Genomic DNA, 22,245 nt, shown 5'->3' with positions numbered 1-22,245 from the left:
AGCTGGGGTAGGGGGGTGCATATAGCCTTTACTGTCAGTTTCTCCTCTGTTGCCCCAACCTTGTTTCAGTCATGCAGGGAGGCTCTAGCGAAGGGCTCTGTGTCAATTCTTCGGCCACTGTGAAAAGGTTATAAATCCTCCCAGAGGCCAGATCAGAAAACCTTGATCTCAGTGGGTCTCTGATTCTGGGACTACTCCCTACTCAGATCTCAGTCAAGGCAGCTTCTGATGATCACAACATTTCCCTTTATTCTCACCCTTCTCAAGGGGCTGTTTGGGGGAAAAAAAAATCTCCATCAAGCATGCATGGGTGACAGAGAAACTCCACCTTCTATCCATTTCCCATTTCACTCAATTATTCGTTCAACATACATATTTTTGACCATGGTCTATGTTTGAGGCATTGTGCTAGGCTTTGTGACATAATGACAACAAATCACTGTTCTTCCTCTCAATAAGTTTGCAATGTAGTGATTTTCTAGTCTGTGAGAATAGGAGGACTATAGTAACCCCATCTGTGCTTCCAAAACCTTTCTTCACAAAGTTGACCATTCAAAGTTGGAATGATGGGAATGGGCAGGCACCTGCAAGAGATATGCCGTCAGTCTGACCACGAACATGGTTTCCATCCCCCTAGAGCATATGAACATTGGCTTTGTGGTCACTGGGGCATGCTCCATTCCCCACTCCATACTTTCCTTATCAAAGTAGGCTGTACTTACCGTGGTTCACTAGGGAAGGATGTTTAAAAAGTCCCTGAGCAAGAGACTATTCCTACAGGGGGAAGAAAAATGAGAGGAGATAATCCAGAACCAGAGAACTGACATGTTTGACACACAGAAAACATTAAAAGATGTGAGCTGGAATGGAGGTAACTACTGAGTGGAAGATGAGACCAATGAAGGGAATGAGATCAACAGGCCAAGTAGAACTCAAGTTTAGCTTTGGGGAAAGGAAGGATGCATCTCTGCTGGGGACAAGAAAGAAGGGAAGAGGAAGAAGGATGTCCTGACACATTCTGATTAGAAGAATAGAGACACTGCAACAATTCAGATACAAAGGGATAGTAGATACTTCTATATTTTGGCTCTCTAAACTCTATCTTTCTAGTTGGGAAAGTTCCCTGTGTGCATAGTGTTAGTGTGATGCAGTGTCCACCTCTCCTAAAGAGGCAAAGGGGTCCTCACTCCATCTCACTCCATTCCACTAGCCCCTAGGAAGCAGGGCATGGCCCATGACTTACATTCAGTCAATCAGTAGCTCCCCTCGGGTATTTCAACATGGTGAATATAATCCAAAAGTAAGGGGGGCATGTGTTCTTTACTTAGGCTGCATAACAAATACCCCAAAATTTAGTCACTTTAAACAACAAATATTTATTTTCTGTTTCTTTGGGTTGGGAATTTGTGGGCAGCTTAGCAGGGTGGTGCTTACTTGAGGCCTCTCATGGGTGGCAGTCAAGATGTCAGCTGGGCCTGCAGTCATCTGAAGTCTTGACTGGGGCTGAGAGTCACCTCCAAGCTGGTTCACTCTCATGTCCGTGAGCAGGTGGCCACAGCTGGTCACTGGCTATTGGAGAAAGCCTCACTTACTCTCCAGAAATACCTCTCTGCAAGGTTTCTTGAGTGACCTTATGACATAGTGCCTGGTTTTCCCCAGATCAAATGATCTGAAAAAGTGAAAGGCAGAAACCACAATGTCTTTTATAACCTACCCTTGACTCACACAATATCCCACTAGATACACAGGAAAGCCCCATCTAATGCAGACAGAGAGTACTGAGGATATGAGAACAGGAAGATGAAGACACTCAGAGGCCACTTTGGAGGCCACATTCACTCATTGCCAGTCGGCTGTCCAGCACTAGTGTCCTGCTGTAGAGTCAGAGGCAGCAGCTATGAGAGCATCTGGCCAGATTCCTCCTGCTGCCCAGCCTCCAGACCCCCTTTGGATTCTGCTTATTTCCCAAGCTTGCTCCTTCCATCTCTTGTGGATTCTATTGGCTTCCACATCTGTAAGTCCTTATTTTCCTAAAGGCAACAGGACTACTTTCTGTTGTTTGCAATCGATAATCCTGACTGGGACAGATGATGTTGATCTCCAGGAAGTTGTTGGTGAGCTCACGTGATAAGAGTAAGGGAGAAGACGAACTGAGGTCAGAGAATCAAAGAGAGTGAAGTTCAAGAAAGGATGCCATGAGGGACATGAGCTGGAGCATCCAAGAGAAAACTACAGGAATTGCTGAGCAGCTTTGAGAACTAAGAGATTTATGTAAGACCCAGTTGAGGGATCAGTGCAGAACAGGTTGTTCTTTTCTTTTTTTAAAACTTAATGTAACCAAACATTCCCTTCTTTTAGTATAGAACTCACAGGGTCATTGAAATATATTCATACTATAGAGCTATATTCCAGCATCAGATATGCCTGCAACACTCCTGTAACCTTGCATTTCCTTACCTGACCAACAGAGAAACTAGTACTGGCCTGTCTGCCTCCGACTCTTGGATCATTTTGCTTTTACTTTGCCTCAGGATATGTAGGACTTAGATAATTAGTGGGTGGACATCTGATTTATTGATGCTGGGCAAAGAGGGGCACTCAAGCAATACATGCAGTGCCAACTGAGATGTTGAGGGAAGCTCAGCTTTTTTAGAAAGCTTCCCCATGCACAGCTGTGATCCAGTTGCATCAGAAGATGCTGAGAGCTCACAAGAAGGGAAGATGAGACTGCTAAGGCTGAACTAGAGGCAAGGATTGTATCAATAGACTCCTTCCTCTTCCTTTCATGATAGGATCCTGCTGTGGTTGAATGTATGTGTCTTTCCAAAATTCATATGTTGAAACCTAATCACCAAGGTGATGGTATTAGGAGGTGGTTGAAACCTAATCACCAAGGCGATGGTATTAGACTAACTCAGAGAATTACAGGTGTGAGCCACCATGCCCTGGCCAAGAGTTCATATTTTTAATTAATTTATTTTCAACTTCAGATGTAAGGGATTGAGTAAATTGTACTTCTTGCATTTTTCCATGTAAGGCCTCTCTCTTGTTTTATGTATTTATTCATTCTTTTTTATTCATATATCTCTCCCCACCTCCCCACCAACCACAGTCTATCATTCCAATTGTTCAATATGCATATGCTTATTTATATGTATTGATGTAAACAAATATTGTTTTGTATGCACGCATTTTTAATTAGTGTAAATGTTGTGTTACATATCTCACTCTGTTTCTTACTTTTTTCCCACTAGCTATGTTTTTAAGGTTCATCTGTGTGGTTATGTTTACATCCAATCAATAGCTGCTAACTGCTACAGGAGCTTCTATGATATATATCCAGCACATTTTACTTTTGTCTTCTCGCAGGAATAGATGCCCAAATTGCAGTTAACTCCTCCTTGACTAACAAATAGCTCTATTGTGAGCATGTTTTTACATGCCCCCTGTCCATTGTCTCCCCAGCACTGGAATGACTGGGTCAGAGGATATACACAGACTTAATTCAATGAAGTCATGCATGCGTACTCTCCAGAGTGGCTCCACAAGTGTGCACGCCCACTAGCAGTGCATTAGGGTGAAACATTTAACTTCAAGATTCATGGCACTGACCAATGCACTGGTATTGTAGGAGTAGGTTCTGGTGTCTCCAACCTATGTCAAAAGTATATTTTACCTAGAGATATATGTTACATTTTCTCTTCCATTTCATTTCTAAGGCTTCTCTCAGCCTTATCATCACTAAACAACACATTCCATGATAAGTGTTGAGCTATGTCTCAGTCCATTTCTGCTTTTATAACAAAACATCTGAGACCTGATATTTCCTTATAGTTTTGGAGGCTAGGAAGTCCAAGATAAAGGTGCTACAAGATTCGATGTCTGGTGAGGGCTGCCTTCTGCTTCCAAGATAGTGGAAGCTGGAAGGAAAAAAAGACCTGTTTCCTACTGCCCTTTTATAAGGGCACGAATTCCACTCACAAGGGTAGAGCCCTAATGACTGAACCACCTCCAAGAGGCCCTGCCTCCTAGCACCATCGCCTTGTTGATTAGGTTTTAACCACCTCCTAATACCATCACCTTGATGATTAGGTTTCAATAAATTTATAGTCTATAAATTTTGGAAGGACACATACATTCAACCACAGCAGGATCCTATCATGAAAGGAAGAGGAAGGAGTCTACTGATACAATCCTTGCCTCTAGTTCAGCCTTAGCAGTCTCATCTTCCCTTCTTGTGAGCTCTCAGCATCTTCTGATGCACCTGGATCACAGCTGTGCACGGGGAAGCTTTCTAAGAAAGCTGAGCTTCCCTCAACATCTCACTTGGCACTGCATGTATTGCTTGAGTGCCCCTCTTTGCCCAGCATCAATAAATCAGATGTCCACCAACATTATCAAAGTCCTACATGTCCTGAGGTAAACTAAAAGTAAAATGATCCAAAAGTCGAAGGCAGGCAGGCCAGTACTAGTTTCCCTGTTGTACAGGTAAGGAAATGCAAGGTTACAGGAGTGTTTCAGGCATATCCAATGCTGGAAAGCAAAGAGGAATATGAAATATTCAAAGCAGATGGGATTTCAAATCACCACCACATAAGGAAGGAGCTCAAAATGCCTTCCTCAAATGTGATTGATGTTCTGTCAACAAACAAGAAGCTAACATTTTGATGGAGTTTTATGATTTCCAGTACACTTTTACAAAATAATCTTATTAGTTCCCAACAAACCTATGAGGAATTAGGTCAGCTATATCTAATGTTCCTAATTTATGGTAAACGAAACTGCGGGCTAAAGAGTTGAGATGACTTGCTTAAGATCCCATTTTTGGTCAGTTGTGGAGTTGAAAACCAAGTGTGAACTCCAGGCTGGGGTCAGAAAATGTGATTTATAACAATGCGTTAGTTCAAGCAAAATTCCACTGTTGTAAAAGAATTTGGAGTCCAAGTGGGAGTTTATTATAATGGAATCTGATCCAAGAATAGTAATTCATGGTTACAAGAAACATTTAAAGTGGGACAATAAATTACACGTGATATTTCCAAATTTGGGCACTGTTTACCAGAGAAAAGAGAGAAAGAGGAGACAATATTTATTTCTTAAAGAAAATCTATAGTACCTCTCCTTTCTCATCTCTTTACTAGTCAGTAGCCAAGGTAATTTCACCAGAGGTCCTACGGCAACTCTCACCAGTTCCCCTGCATGTAGATCAGAAGAGACGACTGCTCTCCACTGCTCGCTGTGCACATCTCCAGCAGCTCCCAGTGCCCCCCAAGGGTGTAGCCTCCCTGAACCCCCAGCGTGCAGAGAGAGGCAGGGCAGGGCTTGCAGATCAAGGGGATCCACTGTCCATGCTGCGAAGAGGAAGATCAAAAACGCAACAGTTCTAGGATCCCAGGCAGCAGTCTGTTATAGAACAGTCGAAAAAAATTTTTGTTTGATTATAGAGACAGAAAAGACCACCTGCTCTGAAGATGTGCAGTTTTCTTGTTAAAACTCCTCCCTGAGTCCCAAGGAGTAATTGCAGGTCCGATTCCTGCTGTCTGGGATGCTGCTCCACAGGGCCCAGTTTGGGGACTGAATCAGAGGATCCTTCTGATGGTTCCATCAGCCCAGGGGTGGCTGAGTCAACCTCTGACCTGGAACTTCTGAATTCTGACAATTCACTGTCCATCTTCCAGCAGTATCCCTGGGGGAAGAGACATTAGCTCAGGCATGAATAGTCACTCTCGGTTCATTTCCAGGCCTCCATGGTTTTATAAATGATGAAAAAGAACCTGTGTAAGAAGTGATACAGTTCTAAGAAAAGACAAGGTAAGAAAATAAGCTTAAGTTGGCTATGAAAATTGTGGTTTAGATTAGTGTCACCTCCTTGCCACTGACAAAGATTGCTAAGTTGATACTGGTGGCTCTTGCCCCTGGGAGTGATTTGCCCAGAGGAAGAAGACACCTTTATACACACGCTGGAAAACTATGCTGTTCTTGTACCTAAAGAATACAGCTGCTACCTCTACAGGTGCTCAGGCTGGGAAGCACCTTTGATCTAGGGCCTCCAGACAAGCCCTAGGAGCTGCTGTTGAAGATGGGGTCCAAGCAGACAACAGCAAGAGTAGAGACATCCAGGAAGCTGGGGGACTTCCCTGGAGGCTGATGCCAGCAGGACAAACTCTCCTGTCAGCTCCTCTTTACATGTTCAGCTTGACTTACAAGGAGAAAGAGGTCCAGTCCCTCTGAGTTTCAGTACTTCTTTTGTCCTCACATCCACTTTCTATAGGAGGGGTTCAAAATGTCAGTCTTCTTCTCTGCTTCCTGGTTCCCCACCCTCACTTCCACATCCTCATCTAAAATCTTCACTTGGACGACTTTGGTGGCTCAATGTCCTGATCATTCATAGTGGTTATTAAGCTAGTAAATTGGCAGAGGCTGGCCTTACAAAACAAAAACCCAGGACATCCAGAATTGTCCACTGGGGAGTTAGGAGGTGTTCATTAAATCTTGACATCTTTTCTGCTTTTAATGCCCCACTCCACCCCTAGGCTCACTCACAAACACAGCAAGTTTTAGCTCAGTGGGGTTGGAAATATCTTGGGTTCAGTGAAATTGCTGTGAAGTCGAGGGGTCATAGGAAAGTAGCAAGGTCCCCTTGTACTTGGAGTAAAATCCATTACTCCAGAGTGTCCTCCTAGATGAACTAGCCCCTGCTCACCTCATGACCTCACTCTTTGTGATATGGACACATTTACCGTCTTCCAGTTCCCCAAACAGGCTGATCCCTTACTCCCCTCAGGGACTTTTCTTACTGGTCGTGTCCCGTGGATGTCTGTCTTTGCATGGCCTGTGTATTAGTTTGCTAGAGCTGCCTTAATGAATTACCACAAACTGGGGGCTTAAACAAAAGAAATTTATCGTCTGAATTTGGGAGGCTGGACGTCCAAGATCAAGGTGCTGGCAGGGTTGGTTCTTTCTGAGAGCTGAAGGAGAATCTGCTTCAGGCCTCTCCCCTAGCTGCTGGGTGTTTGCTGGCCATGTTTGGTGTTCCTTGGCATATAGAAGCATCACCCCAATCTTTGCCTTCATCTTGACATCTTTGCCTGTGTTATCCCTGTGTGCACATGGGTGGCTGTGTCCAAATTTCCCTGTTTTATAAAGACACCCATCATATTGAATTAGGGGCCCACTCTACTCCAGTATGACTCCATCTTAATTAATTACAGCTGCAATGACTCTATTTTCAAATAAGGTCACACTCTGAGATCATGGAAGTTAGGGCTTCAAGATACGAATTTTGCGTGAATATAATTCAACCTATAACTGCTGGCTCCTTTTTATCCCTCAAATTATAGCAGAAACATCACATTCCCAGGTAAGCTCCTCTAACTATCCTATCCAAACCATCCACCACAAAACCCTGTTTGTCAAGCCAATCACAATTGTCAAGTTTTGATGGTTGACCCATTTGTTCCACTGTTTCCCTTGTCCACTAGACTGGAAGCTCAATTTCCAACGCATAAAGGGGGCCTGTTTGTCTTGTTTCTGCTGGACTCCCTTCCCACCCTGAAGGCACATTGAGTGATATCTGTATCCAGCACTGTGCAGTGCCCAGCCATACTGGAGCCTGAGACAAATGGAGAAATTAGTACCAATCCAGTCTTGATTGAAATTTTGAATATTTTGTGCATCAAGGATTTTTTGCATTGATTTTTTATTTTCTAAATGTTGTATTAAAATATCATTTACCTTGATTACCGAGGTGTTTGGTGCCCCCTTTTGTGCCAGAGGCAAGTGCCTCATTCGTCTAAGCTAGTCCAGGTCCTGTCTGTATCATTGGAAATGAAGAAGAAAGGAAGCAGGTTACTCAATCAGTAGGAACAGAGTGATTCTCCTCACTGTGAAAGGCAGCAGAATGACAGAGCATCCTCTTCAATGGAATTGGGTGGAAATGGACTTGAGGGAAACTGAGGCAAGCATAGGGTCTTGGAAACCTAAGTACAGCACTTCATTCCCTTAAATTTCCTGTTCCTCATGGGAACAAGCTTTGGTTTGATTTTGTTCTGAGAGCTGCACTTCCCCTCTCCCAACCCTGGCCTCAGAGCTAATCCAGGGCCCAGGACAAACATCACTTCATTTCTGCCCCAGCCTCAGCTCCCGAGAGCCACAGAGGTACCATGGTTCCTGGTGTTGTGAGGTCTCTGTTCCCTAACTATGAGGTGCTGATACACCCAGGGTGGGGCCAGGGCTTCTGAAACTCACATATCACTGAGCAGCAGTGATTCTACCAAGAATGTCTAAGGACTGTTCTGCTTCCGGGTCAGAGGGAAACCTGACACCCCAGCCTAGGGCTCTAGCTCCTCATCTAGTAACCCCATACCACCATTTTCTCCACAGAACTTCTCACATTCACCCAGCTTCCCTTTCGTGCCTTTCCTGCTCCACCTTCTTTTCTACCTTACTCTCCTCCTGTCCCTCCCCTGCAGCCAGAATGAGACATGGCACTTAAGGGACAGGTTTATTCTTCCTGTTCCCCACAAGAGTCATTTCAGAGTCAAACATCTCTCTATAACCCTGTTTCTGGGTGATAAATTACCTAGACAGACAAGAAAGTGGAATACTCTCTCCCCGGTGCTGAGCGGGGCTTCTATGCCAGTGGTGCTGGGCCGTGGGGAAGAGGATGTGTCTCTGCTGAGTCATGGTTGGAAACCAGTTCTGCAGTTTCCCAGTCACTTAGAGTCTCAGAGATGTCCACATCGCAGCCTGGGAAACTGGTTCTAGCCCAAGGTGAGCACTGAAGTAGCTCAGCAATGTGGGTGCACACTGCCTGAGGTGCAGCAGCTCTTCTAGGAGTATAGGACCTGCTTGGTCTCCTTTCCCAGAAGCACCAGTTTCTTGAGCACTCAAGGCCTGCAGCTGCACCCAGTGGGGTCTGATCCTGAGCCACTCTGGCAAATGGGCCTTCTTTTTGGAGCAAGTTACTTCTCCCACCTGGAGGGAGCTGGGCATTTAAGCAATGTTGTCTTTGAAGCCCACACTGTGTGAGAGCTAAAAGGAGAGGCATCACAGTGCCCAAGATGACGTAGAGTCAGAGACTTTCTTTACCCTCCAAAATAGGGCTTTTTTTTTTTTTTTTTTTGAGATGGAGTCTTGCTCTGTCTCCCAGGCTGGAGTGCAGTGGCCTGATCTCGGCTCACGGCTCACTTCAACCTCCATCTTCTGGATTCAAGGGATCCTCCTACCTCAGCCTCCTGAGTAGCTAGGATTACAGGCACATGCCACCACACCTGGCTAATTTTTGTATTTTTAGTAAAGACAGGGTTTCACCATGTTGGCCAGGCTGGTCTCGAACTCCTGACCTCAGGTGATCCACCCACCTCAGCCTCCCAGAGTGCTGGGATTACAGGCATGAGCCACCACGCCCAGCCTCGAAATGCAGCTTCAATGCCTCTCAAATGCAAATGACGTCACTTACCCTGAATGAGTTGTTGTAAGGGTTAAATGTGGATGTATGAAAACATGACTAAATTGCATTTGACAGGAGCTCTGAAAGCAACACACCACACTGGCATATGCAACACACACACACACACACACACACACACACACACACACACACCCCTACCTCCAAGGGAGTCAGTGGGAATGGTCATACCATAGGAGCCTAGGCCATTCAGAACCTTCCACCCAAAGCTCAACCCAATTTCTAAGATGCCCAGGGACTTCCTTCTTGTCCCCTCCTGCATCCATGGAGATGGTAACTGTGATCGTGGCTGGAGGGAAGAGTGTGTAGGACTACACATGCCTCTCCTTCTTATTTCTGAGCTGGGCCATTTTGGTGGCTGTATTTCTGAGCTAGGGTTCTATACCTCTTGGAATAGGAACCACCCTGCCTTTGCTGGGCCTCCTACCATGTTTGAAACAAATCCATTTGGTGGCCAAAACAGGATGAGGAAAGAAATATTTCATTTCTCTGTTTTTTCTCCAGCCCCTATCAATAGACAATTGATTTTATTTTTCTTAAATGCTATGCTCATGTAGATTCTACTGCCTGACTGGCCAAAGGAGACAAACATGATAGAAAGACTCTAAGACCCTGGGCTGCCCAGATTGCAGGAGGAAGCGGAGTTTAACTGGGGAGGGATCAAGGCATGAGACTCTAAAAGACACAAGTAGAAAGGAGCTTCAGAAACCGTTCCAGGGGAGAGAAGGCAGAGTCATGGGTTAGAAAGCATGTGAGAAGTCAGCCGGTTTGCCTTCTCATCCGAGGCAGAAAACCATTTGTCATTCACACATTCATTCAACAAGCAACTGTTGCTTATCTAACCTCTGCCTGCGCAGTTTTGGTGATGGGAGGCTCATTCTTTCTTCAAACACAAAAAAGAGAAATTTGGCTCATTAGGCTTTCAAAGCTTTCCCCAATGGTATAAGCACCATAAAGTCAAGATTCATGTGTATTTTGCTACCTACTTCATTTCTTGTGCCTAGCACAGAGTTGTCACTTAATATTATTTGTTGAATGAATAAATGGACATATGGATGAGTGAATGAAACACATCAACAGCAGAAAAGAACAAATGCCCCCCAGGGCTCTAAGGACATGATTGGGGGTTGGGGGTAAGTACCAAGAAAAACATCTAAAGTCTCAATGTTTTTCTTAAAAATTCATGGAAAATTTGCACTTTGCATCAAAATATATCCTTCATTTTCTATAAAAATGATGCTTTGGTGTATCTACTGGAGGGCAGAGTTTATGTATGCCTTGTGGCCTTGCCCCAGGCACAGTGCCTCGAGTCCCTGGCAGTACGCACAGGCGGGTTCGGGGGAGCCCGGCACTGGGCTCTTTCCTGATCTCATCCCTGCATCCTGTTGCCAGTATTCTGCATCCGCTTTCCGCCTCATTGCCATTCCATCGACCTCCTCCCTGGCTCTTGTCTAGCCCACCCCAGGTCTAGGTTCTGCTCTCAGGCTTCACCTCCCAGGGGCAGCAGGAAATGGTGCTCGTCTTGCCTTTTTTTTTTTTTTTCCCATAAAACTCTAGGTGAGGCCATGAATAATTGGTCCTTTCTGGAGAGGGACTGATAATCTGTCTTTCCTGGAGCTATTACCAGGGTGGCCTGCAAGTGTTAAGAGGAGAAAATGGGGCAGTGGCCAGGGGTGGGGAGTGAGCTGAAGATAATGGAGTCGAGAGCTGCAGAGAGGTCCCCTCCGGGCAGCCAGACTGTGAATCATGGCAGTCCTGGGGGAAAATCGCACTGCCTAGCCTTCCTGCCCTGCCTCTGCGGCTGCCCCACATGGTTGCTTCCACTGGGTCTGCACCTGGGCTGTTTGGCTCTCACTGCTGGAGAGGCCTTGCCTGCCCCATGGGTATGGTGGACACACTGGCTCCCACCTATGTGGAGCAATGTGAAGGGCACCAAAAGTCTTCATCAATAACACCATGCCTGTGTCCATCAGCAGCCACTGTGGAACCTATTATGAACCTAGCACAGTGCTTGGCTCTGAGGGGCATCCAGGGAGGCAGAATACAGACCCTGTGCACATCGGCTCACCACGGGAAATGTCCACATCCCTGGCTCTGAGCAAGACCTGGACTGGCCCCCCTCAGAATCACTCCTGTAGTCTAACACCCCCCCATTAGAATGGAAAGGTGCTCCCCAGAGGTTTAATAGTCAATCCTCATAAGTGCATAGCATCCATAGTTTGTGGTGCATTTTTATGTTCATTATCTCATTTAATCCTTAAAATTATTTTATGAATTTGTTGTAGAAATAGAAACTTAAGTAAGAGATTCCTTTAAGGTCATGGATCTGAAAAGTGGTGAGGCTGCAATTCAAACCCAGAATTTTCTAAGAACATTGTCTTTCTTCTTTCTTATTCCCCTACTCCATGCCTATGGGGAAAAAAGGTAAACTCTGATGTGGTGAGAGGTCAGGGGTTGTGGGAATGGGCTGAGAAGAGGGTCAAGCTGGGCAGGATGTCGCCATGGGTGGCTCTGAGCAACCACATGAGTCTGAGGACCTGGGATTCTGCAAACTGCTGAAAAGGGAGAGAGCTGTCAGCCAGGCCTAGATATGTTTGTTCGTATTTCTCCCTTGAACTGAGCCTGCTAGAGATACAATTCCCAGATGGGCATAAGGACATGGACACTTGGGTAGGAATGATACAGAGTTGAATTAGGTGGTATTTGCTTTGTTTCTTTGGATCTCTCAGAGCAGTGACATTGATTTAGTGTCACTGTGCACAGTACTGGATGTCGTCGGAAGCCTATGATCTAGGAATTCACCATGCCTCTTCCATGGCTTTTTTTTCCCTCCACTGGGGAGGGGTCAAGTGCCTTCCTTTGCTCTGCAACTCTCCACTGTGCTTGGGAAGGTAGGTGCCCCCCAGCCCCATCAACCCTCCCTCTGACAGGGTAGCTAAGTGTCCCATTTGCCTCAGGAAAGAGCATTTGACTCAATAAACAGTACTGGTCTTGTTCAGGTACACTCCTTTTTCTGTGTCCTAGGTAGAATTCATATTTCCCATTACTTAAGCCCTTCTTAAGCCCTTTTGATCTTTGCTCTTTTGGTTTGGTTTTCCTGGGCTGCTCACCACAAAATTGCTGCCCTCTTAATAATACGAAAGATGCCCCATAGTGACCTGCCCAGTGTCTGTGTGTGTGTGTGTGTGTGTGAAGAGAGAGAGACCATGCTGCTTCTATTCCTCAGGTTGAGATATGACAGCTTCCTGTGAGACCCTTGAAATCCCCAAGGTGTTTTCCTATGGGGTTGTTCAGATGGCCAACACAGAAAGATCTCTGCATACACACTCACGCCCTGGAATCTGCACAATGAATGGCTGTCCCAGCAGGACCAGGATTGGGCGTTGTGTTGATTCCAAACACCCCACAGCACTTCCTTTTCTCCAGCTTATCTCTCATGGAGAAGACCTGAAGCCTGTTTCCTTGACAACCAGTCTCCCTCTTTCCCCATATTTTTTATTGCTGTGGTTATAAGGTGTATTTAAACCCAGCAGCCATGTTCCCATGGTGATAGAAGACCCCCAGTAAGTTGCCATGGGAACAAGAGATGTCTTTGAAAGAGGATAAAAGTAAGTCAGCTTTGCAAGCGATGACAGCAAAGTTAGAATCTAGAGAGGCTGGAGAATATGGCTCAAGCAGGTATCAGGTCATGGTTAATAGCCCAGCCTATTCTACCTGTGACCAGCCTCAGGTCATGGGGGGCAGAGAGGTGACACCAAGCTTCCTGCTCTGTTCACAAGAAGACTATGAGCAAAGCAATATGACTGCTGGAATTTAAAAACAAGTTCTCTCCAGTTGCTCTTATTTGCTATTTAATCCTTTGTCTCTCTTCTTCTGAAAGGTTTTTAGAGATAGAGGAACTAGGTGGGGCAGCTGAACTGAAAGACCAGGATGATGAAGGCATTTGTTCTTTTTAGCTGTTTCATAACAGGAAAGAAGTCACTTCTGAGTTCTGAGATCTGATGCCCTTACAAACAACAAGCATTATTTCCATTTTGTTTTTCCCTCAACATTTTGTTATTAGTATTTCCAAACATACAGCAAAGTGAGAAGAATTGGCAGTTAACATCATATACCTATCATTTAGTTTCTACTATCAACATATTACTACATTTGCTCTGTCATCTGTCTACCCATCTATCCACTGATTTTTCCCTTAACTAAGAACTAGTTAGTGAATAAACTAGCATTCATACCAGAATAGTTTCTTGCCAAAGCATGTTTCCTTTCCATTATACTGCACTTAGGGTGACCAACCATCCCAGTTTGCCTAGGACTAAGAGGATTCCCAGGAATCCTGAGACTTTTGGTTTTAACACTGGTACAGCCCAAGAAGTTGTTTACCCCAATCCCTGCACAGTATGCTTTGGGAAATTTAGGGTTTGATTAAGGAGTAAGGGGCCCTGAGCAAGCAAGCACACAACTACCTATATAAACAACTGTAAGTAGAAAGAGAGACAGAGCCAAGTGTTGGAAAGGATATAGAGCTAGTGGAACACTCATAGACTGTCAGTAGGAGTGTCAATTGTTGTAGTCACTTTAGAACATGATTTGGAAGGATCTACCAAAGCTAGACACACACATAGCCTATGACTCAGTGATGCCACTCTAGGTGTACCCAAGAGAAATGAGAATATATGTTCACTAAAACAACAACAACTAAAAATCTAAAAGAATGTTCAAGGCAGCTTTATTCTTATTAGCCCAAACTAGAAACAACCCAAATGTTCATCAACAGAATAAATAAATTCTGTAAATGCATATAATGGAGTACTACATGATATTAAAGATAAAAAACTTTCTGACACGCACAACAGCATGGATGAACCTTAAAGACATAATGTTGAATGAACAAAAGCCAGACACAAGAATTTATACTATATGAGTCCATTCATATGAAACTGCAGAAAAAAAAATCTCACTACCATGATAGAAGTGAGTGATGGGCTTGGGCCTGGGGAGTGGGGTAGAATGGACTGAGAAACGGACAAGAGGAAGCCCTCCCAGGAGGCTTGATGTGTTGTTCAACTTGACCTGGGTTGAACTTGAGCTCTGTAGCTCTCTACTGTGCTTGGGAAGGTAGGTGCCCCCCAGCCCCATCAACCCTCCCTCTGACAGGGTAGCTGGCTGACTGAGTGTCCCATTTGCCTCAAGAAAGAGCAGATGACTCAGAATAAACAGGACTGGTCTTGTTCAGGTACACTCCTTTTTGTGTGTCCTAGGTAGGATTTTCTGTGTCCTAGGTAGGGGATTATCAGACGTCTTCCTATAGAAGCACTCATTGAGGCTGTATATGTGAGATTAGTGTACAGTTTCCTCTGTGCAGGTTATGTCTGAATTTAAAAGTTTTCAAAAAGACAGACATTAGAACTCCAAAAACTAAAACAAGAGTAAAAAGGATATAGACAGAGTAGCAAATACTAAAGCTGACAGAGAAAGAGAAAACTGCAGTGTGATTGCCAGTAAACCCAGAAGGGGCTGAAAAACACTAAAGCGTGCTACCTAATTACTCTTTCACTCCAGAAATGTGATCCATGGAGTCTGTCAGGACCAGAGATTTCACATCTCACTACAAAGACCCAGAGCAAGTTGCCTGCAATGGAAAGATACTTTAAGAGAAGAAAAGTCATTTTCTGTCCTTAAACAGGAAGGAACAAAAGATTATCTCTCCTGTCTGAACTGAGGGGTTATTTGAGAAAAACACTCAGGAATTACCCATGGGTAGGCTTTTAGGAAATTAAAATCTGCAAATAAGCTGGGCACAGTGGCTCACACCTATAATCCCAGTGCTTTGGGAGGCCAAGGCGGGAGGATCATTTAAGGCCAGGAGTACAAGACCAGCCTGGGCAACATAGCAAGACCCCCATCCCTACAAAAAAAAAAAAAAAATTTTAATTGTCCAGGTGTGGTGGCATGTACCTGTAGTCCCAGCTACTTCAGAGGCTGAGATGGAAGGATCGTTTGAGCCCAGGAGTTCAAAGCTACAGTGAACTATGATCATACCACTGCACTCTAGCTTGGACAACAGAAAGAGCCCTTGTCTTTTTTAAAAATAAAAAAAATCTGGATACAAAGAAAAGGTTGTTTCTGTGTTTCCCACCTCTGAAGAAGGAATCTACTCTGGGAAATTTCCACTCCCTACAATAGGAGTAGTATCTGCTGGGGACAGGTGCGTGCACGGTCTGAGTCACCTCCAACTCTGCACATGTCTGGAGCCAGCACTGTGGGGGTGGGAGGACAGGAACCACATCTGTGTCTTCCGGGTATACCTGCCAAGCTTTCAACCAGTTTCGAGGTGCCCTCAAAGTCAGGGCCAGCCGTTTGGAAGCCTGGGCCATTGCACTGACCTTCCCTCCCCAGGTATTCTACTCCTCGGCAATGAGAGAACATATCAACTCATCCTGCTCTGGGGAGGTCCCAGGTCCCTCAGCAACCACCCCCTACAAATAAAGCCTTTCCTCTCCCGCAGAGAGCCAGGGAAGACAGGGTAGGACTTCTCACCCTCCTGGCCCCTCCATCCCAGATACCTTGGCTGCATCATTTCATTTTTCATTTTGTCTGGATTAATTTTGCATTGCTGCATGATTCACACTTCCTGTCTGGCTTCCAAAGCACATAACTAGAGGATCCCTCTGGAGAGGAATGCCGATTAATACCTTTAACATGCCTGCTTCTGATGGGGAGAGCAGTAAAAATACATATTTTCATATTACATCTATATTCATCTATATATTTTTAACATGTCATTGTGCCACTTTGTACAGAATTGTCATTTTAAGTGGTGATTTGGCCTCACTCCAGGGATTGATGCATCAGGGTCAGGTGGCCTCTGAGGCAGCTGTAATTTTTATGCTGAGCTCCCATCATAGGAGGAGTTAGCCTGGGGAGATTCACCACATTGCAGAGTGCTGAAGTGAGTGGTTCTCAACAGAAAGGGCACAGCTTTTAAAGAGAAGAAAAGTCTTGTCTTTTTCTCTGTTTTCTCAGAGAAGAAAGAATAAACCCTTGCCTGGACTGAGGGATTATTGCAGATGAGACTCAAAAAACATTTATATAACACCCCCAGCCAAAAGTCCCCAGGACACTGTTAATAGGAGTCAAAAGGCCAATGGAAATGTAGCCCTGGAGCATTTGTGCACCTGGAGGTCATTCAGGATTGAGGCCAAGGGTGTTTGTGCGCCCCTGGGGCCTGCAGGTGTGGTAACCCATACCCAGGTATCTACCAGCCAGCCCTTCCACCCCTAGGAAGAAAGGCTCCATGAAGTCAAAGTGAGAGAGGGAGAGTCCTCCAAGATCAGGAACTTCTCTTTGGGGCCAAATGAACTCCACCCAGAAGTGATGAAGAAAGGTAGGTAATGGATTGCTCAGACCACAGAACACCTGGCCTTCAAACCATGGGCTAAAGAAATCAGAATTGCGCTTTAAATTCTTCTGTAAAGGGGCATTTGCAGAACCACTGTCCTCTCCTCTGTATGAACATTGGGACCAGGATCCAGTTCCAGCTTTTCCAGGCTCCCGTCTCCCTCCCTCCTCCCTCCTTGCAGGCGCGTCCCCTCCCCTCCCCTCCCCCCTCCCACCCCCAACCCTGTGCTGCTGGACAACTGTTCCTTGCCCTGAGATCCTCTCCTATGGTAGAGCTTCCCTTCCTCCAAGTGCCTATTTAGAACCAGAAACAGAAATGGAGAAAAAAAAATCTTATTAAATATGTGTATTTCTGTTATTCCTTTTGGTGGGATAATCCCTAACAAACCGCAGCTGCAGAAGACTAACTGAGCAAATGATGGGAGGATATAAATATCTAGAATTACTGTATCTCAAATTCCGTTTTCCTGCTGCAGCCCCAAAGAGCCAGATTTAATTTTTAAAAGAGACTTCAGAGAGGAAGCCTAGGCTCCTAGCAAGGCTTTAGATACTTAATAAATGAAATAAGGCCCCTGTCGACAGAATTGAATGCGTATGTGTGCATCGGTGCACACTCGTGTCTGTGTGTGTCCACGTGCATGCATGTGTGTGTATTGGCAGGCAGGAAGAAGGTGGCTGCAGAGCCTGTGAAGATGAGCGTCAACCACCAAAAATTCTGATTTCCACACCCCTGATATAGGACACTTGTTTACATGAGAAGGTGAGAAGGGAAATTAAACAATGATTTTCAAATCCCTTAAGAGCTATTATGCAGCAAATATCATCCAGCTGTTCTCCACCTCCTGCCCCAGTTTCCCATCTGCTGCCTGTTTTAAGTGGCGCTTATGGGACAAGACCACTCACCACCTTTTGGTTGGCAAACTCCCGGGTATTTTGGCATGTGAGTTCTGTACAGACTGTCCCCTTGGAGATGGAGTTGGCAAGACATGGCCATTCCAAGTGGACTGGAATCCAAGTCTATACCATCTGGGTGGTAGGCTCTGCTCAGCGGGTACATGGACCTAAGCCAATATGAGCAGTGCATTGATACTCTCGGGGCACAGTGCCATGCTGCTGGTGCCAGATACCAGAATCACTCCCTGGATCCCCTGAGAGCAGTTAAGAAAAAATCAAGACTGGTGATTTGGAAGACCTCCCAGTAGGCATCTGGCCTCTAGACATGGAAACCAAATCAAATCTTGGGCTAGAAGAATATGGTACGCACATATGCATTTCATTCATCCATGCAACAGTTATTTACAGACCCCTGTTGGGGGCAGAGTTTCTATCCCAGCTTTCCAGCTTGGGCTTTATTGTTGCCTATGTTAGTTTGTTCTGCAGTCCACCCTAACACAGGGTAACTTAGCCTTAAAGGAAATGAGTAATTTCCTCTTCTGCTGGATAGAAAAGATTTCCACCCCCGTTGCCCTTTTTCAACTCCTGTGATAGACCTCCCTGCTCTCAGGTTTGCCTTCAGTTTTATTGGGCCACCTGGTTTTCAAGTGAAGGTGCTGCCTCCAGGGAGCCAGATACTGAGGGACTTAGAGCAGATGAATGTGACTTAGGAGGTAGATGGGACTAGGGACATGTTTTCCCTCCTCCTTGGTTCTGGTGCTACATCCGGCCAGGTAACACACACATGGAAAGTAACTATTTTGAATTCTGGTCCCAGAGCTGGAGGTTTACATGATCTGGAGACTTGGAGACCAAGAGAGATGCTGTATGTTTATTACCCCAGTTATCTCTCTCTCTGTAACTTTCATTCTACACCTTGGAGGGAGATATTTATTAGTCATGAGGTGGTCATACCATGCCAAATCTCACAGAGAATGAAGGTCCAGTCCCTGGCTCCATCTTACAACACTTTTTCACCATCTGTACTCTGAAACTTTGACACACATCCCAGAAATAGAAGAGGCTCAGTTCATCCCCTACTTCTATTGTTGCTCTCTCCTCCTTTGATGACAGATGTGTGTTAACCTGACTTGTTCTCTTATGAGTTCCTTGAAGGCTTCTTTGCTTATTCCCAAGTACTAGCACAGTGCTTTTCATATAAAGGGAACTCAGTACACAGTTGTCAAATGAGTGAATGGATGAATAGATTACAAAATGATTTACAGGTGATACTCTCACAGTGCTTTTGTTTAAAGAAATTGACAGGCCAGCTTTGCAAGAAAACCTACCCTTCTATTCTTCTAGGGTGAATGAGAGTAACTCTTATTTTGTATTAAAACCCCTTTTTTAAGTAAGAAAAGAAGGTAGATACATTTGAGCCTTGTTTGCAAAGCTGCTTTAAACCATTCCTCTGTAAACCAGTCCAAATAGAGTGCTTCTATCTAGGGAATAGAAAGGCCAATTAGAGGTCAATGGGCTCCCTCTTCCACGCCACTATGGAGACAAGTAACAGGTAGCCCAGTGTTACTTAAGCCACTGTGTCTGCACCTAATCACATACCCTACTCATTGTCCATGAATCCAACTCATCCCATCCCATATGTATCTGGCAAAGCACCAGATGACATTTCTGAATTCCTATATTTTCATTCTTGTTTGGCTCCCCTACCTTGGCCATCAGTGGCCATGAAGACCCCTGCTGCATGGGCAGCATTATATTCCTGGTCTAAAGCAAACAGCCCCAGGCCAGACAAATGTGGCTGAAAGATTGTCAGAGCCCTGCCATCTACTCCTGTCACCTCACTGACTCTCTCCATTTCTCTTATTTTCCACTCATACTTCTCAGTTCCATCTCTGATGATGATGACGATAATACTAATAAAAATGTACTGAGTGCTTACTCAGTGACAGCCACTGTCTTAGGAGCTTCACAAGCCTTGCTAAACATTACTCTCACAGCAACTTCAGGAGAGGGATGCCACTGTGATTCCCATTTCACAGATGAAGACAAGGAGCTAGAGGAAGGTTAAGTAACTCATTCAAATCACACAGCTAGTGAGTGTAAGAATCAGCATTCAAACACAGTTCCTCCTAACCCTAAAGGTCACTCTCAATCACAACACTGTTCTCCAACAATTTGCTCTGGTTTTGGAGTATCTCATTCTACTTTTCTTGGAATTCCACCATGGTATATCACCTAAGAACTGTTCCTTGCCTTGAGTCTCTCTCCATTGCTGCTTCTTTAGTACAAGTCCTCTCTCAATTCCCATGCTCCCCGCAATAGCTCTGGATTCAACCCAGTGCTTTTCTGCATTGCTAAATACACGATGAATTACAGTGTAAAGAAAATAGAAGGTGCCCCCAAATACTTGTTCAGCTAATTCATTGGTTGCTGATCTTCTACTCCAGGCAGGTAGGCCTTCTGGGCCTGATTCTAGGGTCACCACTTTCTATCCCAAAGGTTGCTCTTGCCATTCTTCTGATTCTCTGTCTTTTGCCTAATGGGCTTTCACCTGCCCAAGGCCCTGCCCCAGTCTGCTCCATGCAAGCACCGCATTCTTCACGCACTCCCCTCTCTGCCTAAACTGTGTAAATCCACAGGAGAGAATCTTAGACAATTACCCAGGTAGTCTCCCTTTGCAGGCATCTCCATGGTCGGCCCACATTTGTATGGTTTAATTCAACAACCACTGTTATAAGGAAAACTAAAGATCTTGCAAAGCACTTTCTTTTGTCAGGGTGAATGGGCCCAGGTTAGGCAGAGGGTGCCTCTCCAGCCCCATGCCCTCCCTCAGGGCACAGAAGGACTTTAGGACCCGAAGCGGGAAGCAGCCCCCCTCATAGAGTACAGAGCTGTGCACCTCCAGCATCTGTGACAGGCACTTCCACCTGGAGGCAGCCTCAGCCTGTGCTGTCCTGGGGTACTGTTTTCCACTAATATGCTCATATTTCATCTGCTTTAGCATTTTGCTTTCCCAAGCCTCTTAATCCCTCATAATTGAATATATTTTATGCTGATGAGCAGTCATGTTAATCATGCCTCTGGGCCATGCCTAGAGGGACATTTTATTTCATTCTTTCTTGGGCCTTATGCCAACTTGCACTTTTTCCATCTCGAGGGAGGCTCTTTCTCCAAAGGATGGAATGTGAGCTGGAGGTGAGAAAGGACTCCCTGACTATCAGCCTTTGGAGACCCTGGAACTAAGTGCTAAAGGGAATTACCTTAAAGAGAGATTTTTAAGAACAGAGACACTTTTTTCTTTTCCTTGTCATCCAACCAGATAAACACTTCATCCTGGAGCCCTCGATATGAACCAAATGATGCACGGATTCTGCTCCAAGGCTGAGAATGCAGACTGGCCCTTCCCAGCCAGGTTCTGTATGTTCTGGAGGGGGGATGGAAGAAGAGGGGTGAGTAAGGAAGATTTACGATCTGACTAGAATTCAGGAGAAGCACACACTAAGTCAGGTGGGAGCTCCCCAAAGATTAAGAGCAGCGACTCAAATTGCCTGCAAAGCTTCCATTGATCCAGCCTCTCCGAAGACTTTCCTGGTGGCCACACCGCTCTGCCACAAGCATTGTTTCCCTCAACTTCAAAGCTTGGATTTCATTAAATTAAAAATGCATAAAGCCACAACCTTGTTTTCTTTCAATTTTAGTGCTTACAGAACTAGAAATGATTGATATGCCAGTAATAGCAGACAAGAGGGAGAAGAATTTATGACCCCAGAAGTGCTGAGGCAAAGCAATAGAAAGAAGCATTTAAGTCTCTCTATTAAAGTAACTCATATGAAAAAGTAATAGAAGCTAGGGTGGCAGAGGCCTTACTTATTTTATCAGTGATGCCAACAGTCAGCGATTTGTCATGGCTGGAGAACAGGAAACAACCATCTACCCCATGAATGCGCCAACGCTCAACGCAGTCTGTCAATGAAAAGCCAATCATAATCTGGAAACACTGGGATAGACGATTTAAGGACTCACATGGAGAGAGAGAGAGAGACAGCAGCATCACCCTCCAAGGCTGGCAGAGAAGGTGGAACTTGAATTTCATTGCCCTTAAGGTGTCAAAACTCGAAATTACCCAGTGCCAAAAGGATGAGAAGTCAGCAGCTGATCTTAGAAAGCTGGAGTTTGTTTCTTTCCAAGTAATAGCCCTTGAAAGTCTGGGCCAGTGAGAGCAGGTTAACTCCCTGTGTTTTCACATCCTTCCTTAACAAGGATACGGAGGACCTGGGGGGGAGCACTTTAAGCTTCCCTCCTATCTGCAAAACACACCTTTCCTGAGCTCCTCCTCTCCTCACCCAGAGAGAATGAAACACAAATAGACACAGGTTTTCTTAGATTTCATGTGAACAACTAAAAAAAAGCAGCAACAACAAAACCTCCTTCATTTGATAAGTGTGTTTCTTTAGCATCACCTCGTTTCTCCCGTTTTGCAC

At 45.1% G+C, this 22,245-nt stretch overlaps 1 long non-coding RNA gene across 1 annotated transcript, besides 2 other annotated features; it reads right to left on the bottom strand.

The window, feature by feature from the left end:
• Nucleotides 1,641-1,800: an enhancer, noted in NCBI's record as "active region_5535". NCBI's record gives its function as "activates an Ori minimal core promoter by ATAC-STARR-seq in GM12878 lymphoblastoid cells {active_cell/tissue: GM12878}" and the evidence as "EXISTENCE:reporter gene assay evidence [ECO:0000049][PMID:35858748]".
• On the bottom strand, nucleotides 4,933-7,996 carry LOC124902757 (uncharacterized). The gene is made up of 2 exons (XR_007062892.1): nucleotides 7,735-7,996; nucleotides 4,933-5,686 (listed from the first exon to the last, which is right to left on the bottom strand). It is a non-coding gene; the product is annotated as an uncharacterized LOC124902757 (long non-coding RNA).
• Nucleotides 8,370-8,419: an enhancer, noted in NCBI's record as "active region_5534". NCBI's record gives its function as "activates an Ori minimal core promoter by ATAC-STARR-seq in GM12878 lymphoblastoid cells {active_cell/tissue: GM12878}" and the evidence as "EXISTENCE:reporter gene assay evidence [ECO:0000049][PMID:35858748]".

Source organism: Homo sapiens, chromosome 11, assembly GCF_000001405.40.
Source record: "Homo sapiens chromosome 11, GRCh38.p14 Primary Assembly".
Lineage (NCBI taxonomy): Eukaryota > Metazoa > Chordata > Mammalia > Primates > Hominidae > Homo > Homo sapiens.
The sequence above is the reverse complement of the archived record's forward strand: the minus strand, read 5'-3'. Positions and strand labels throughout refer to the sequence as shown.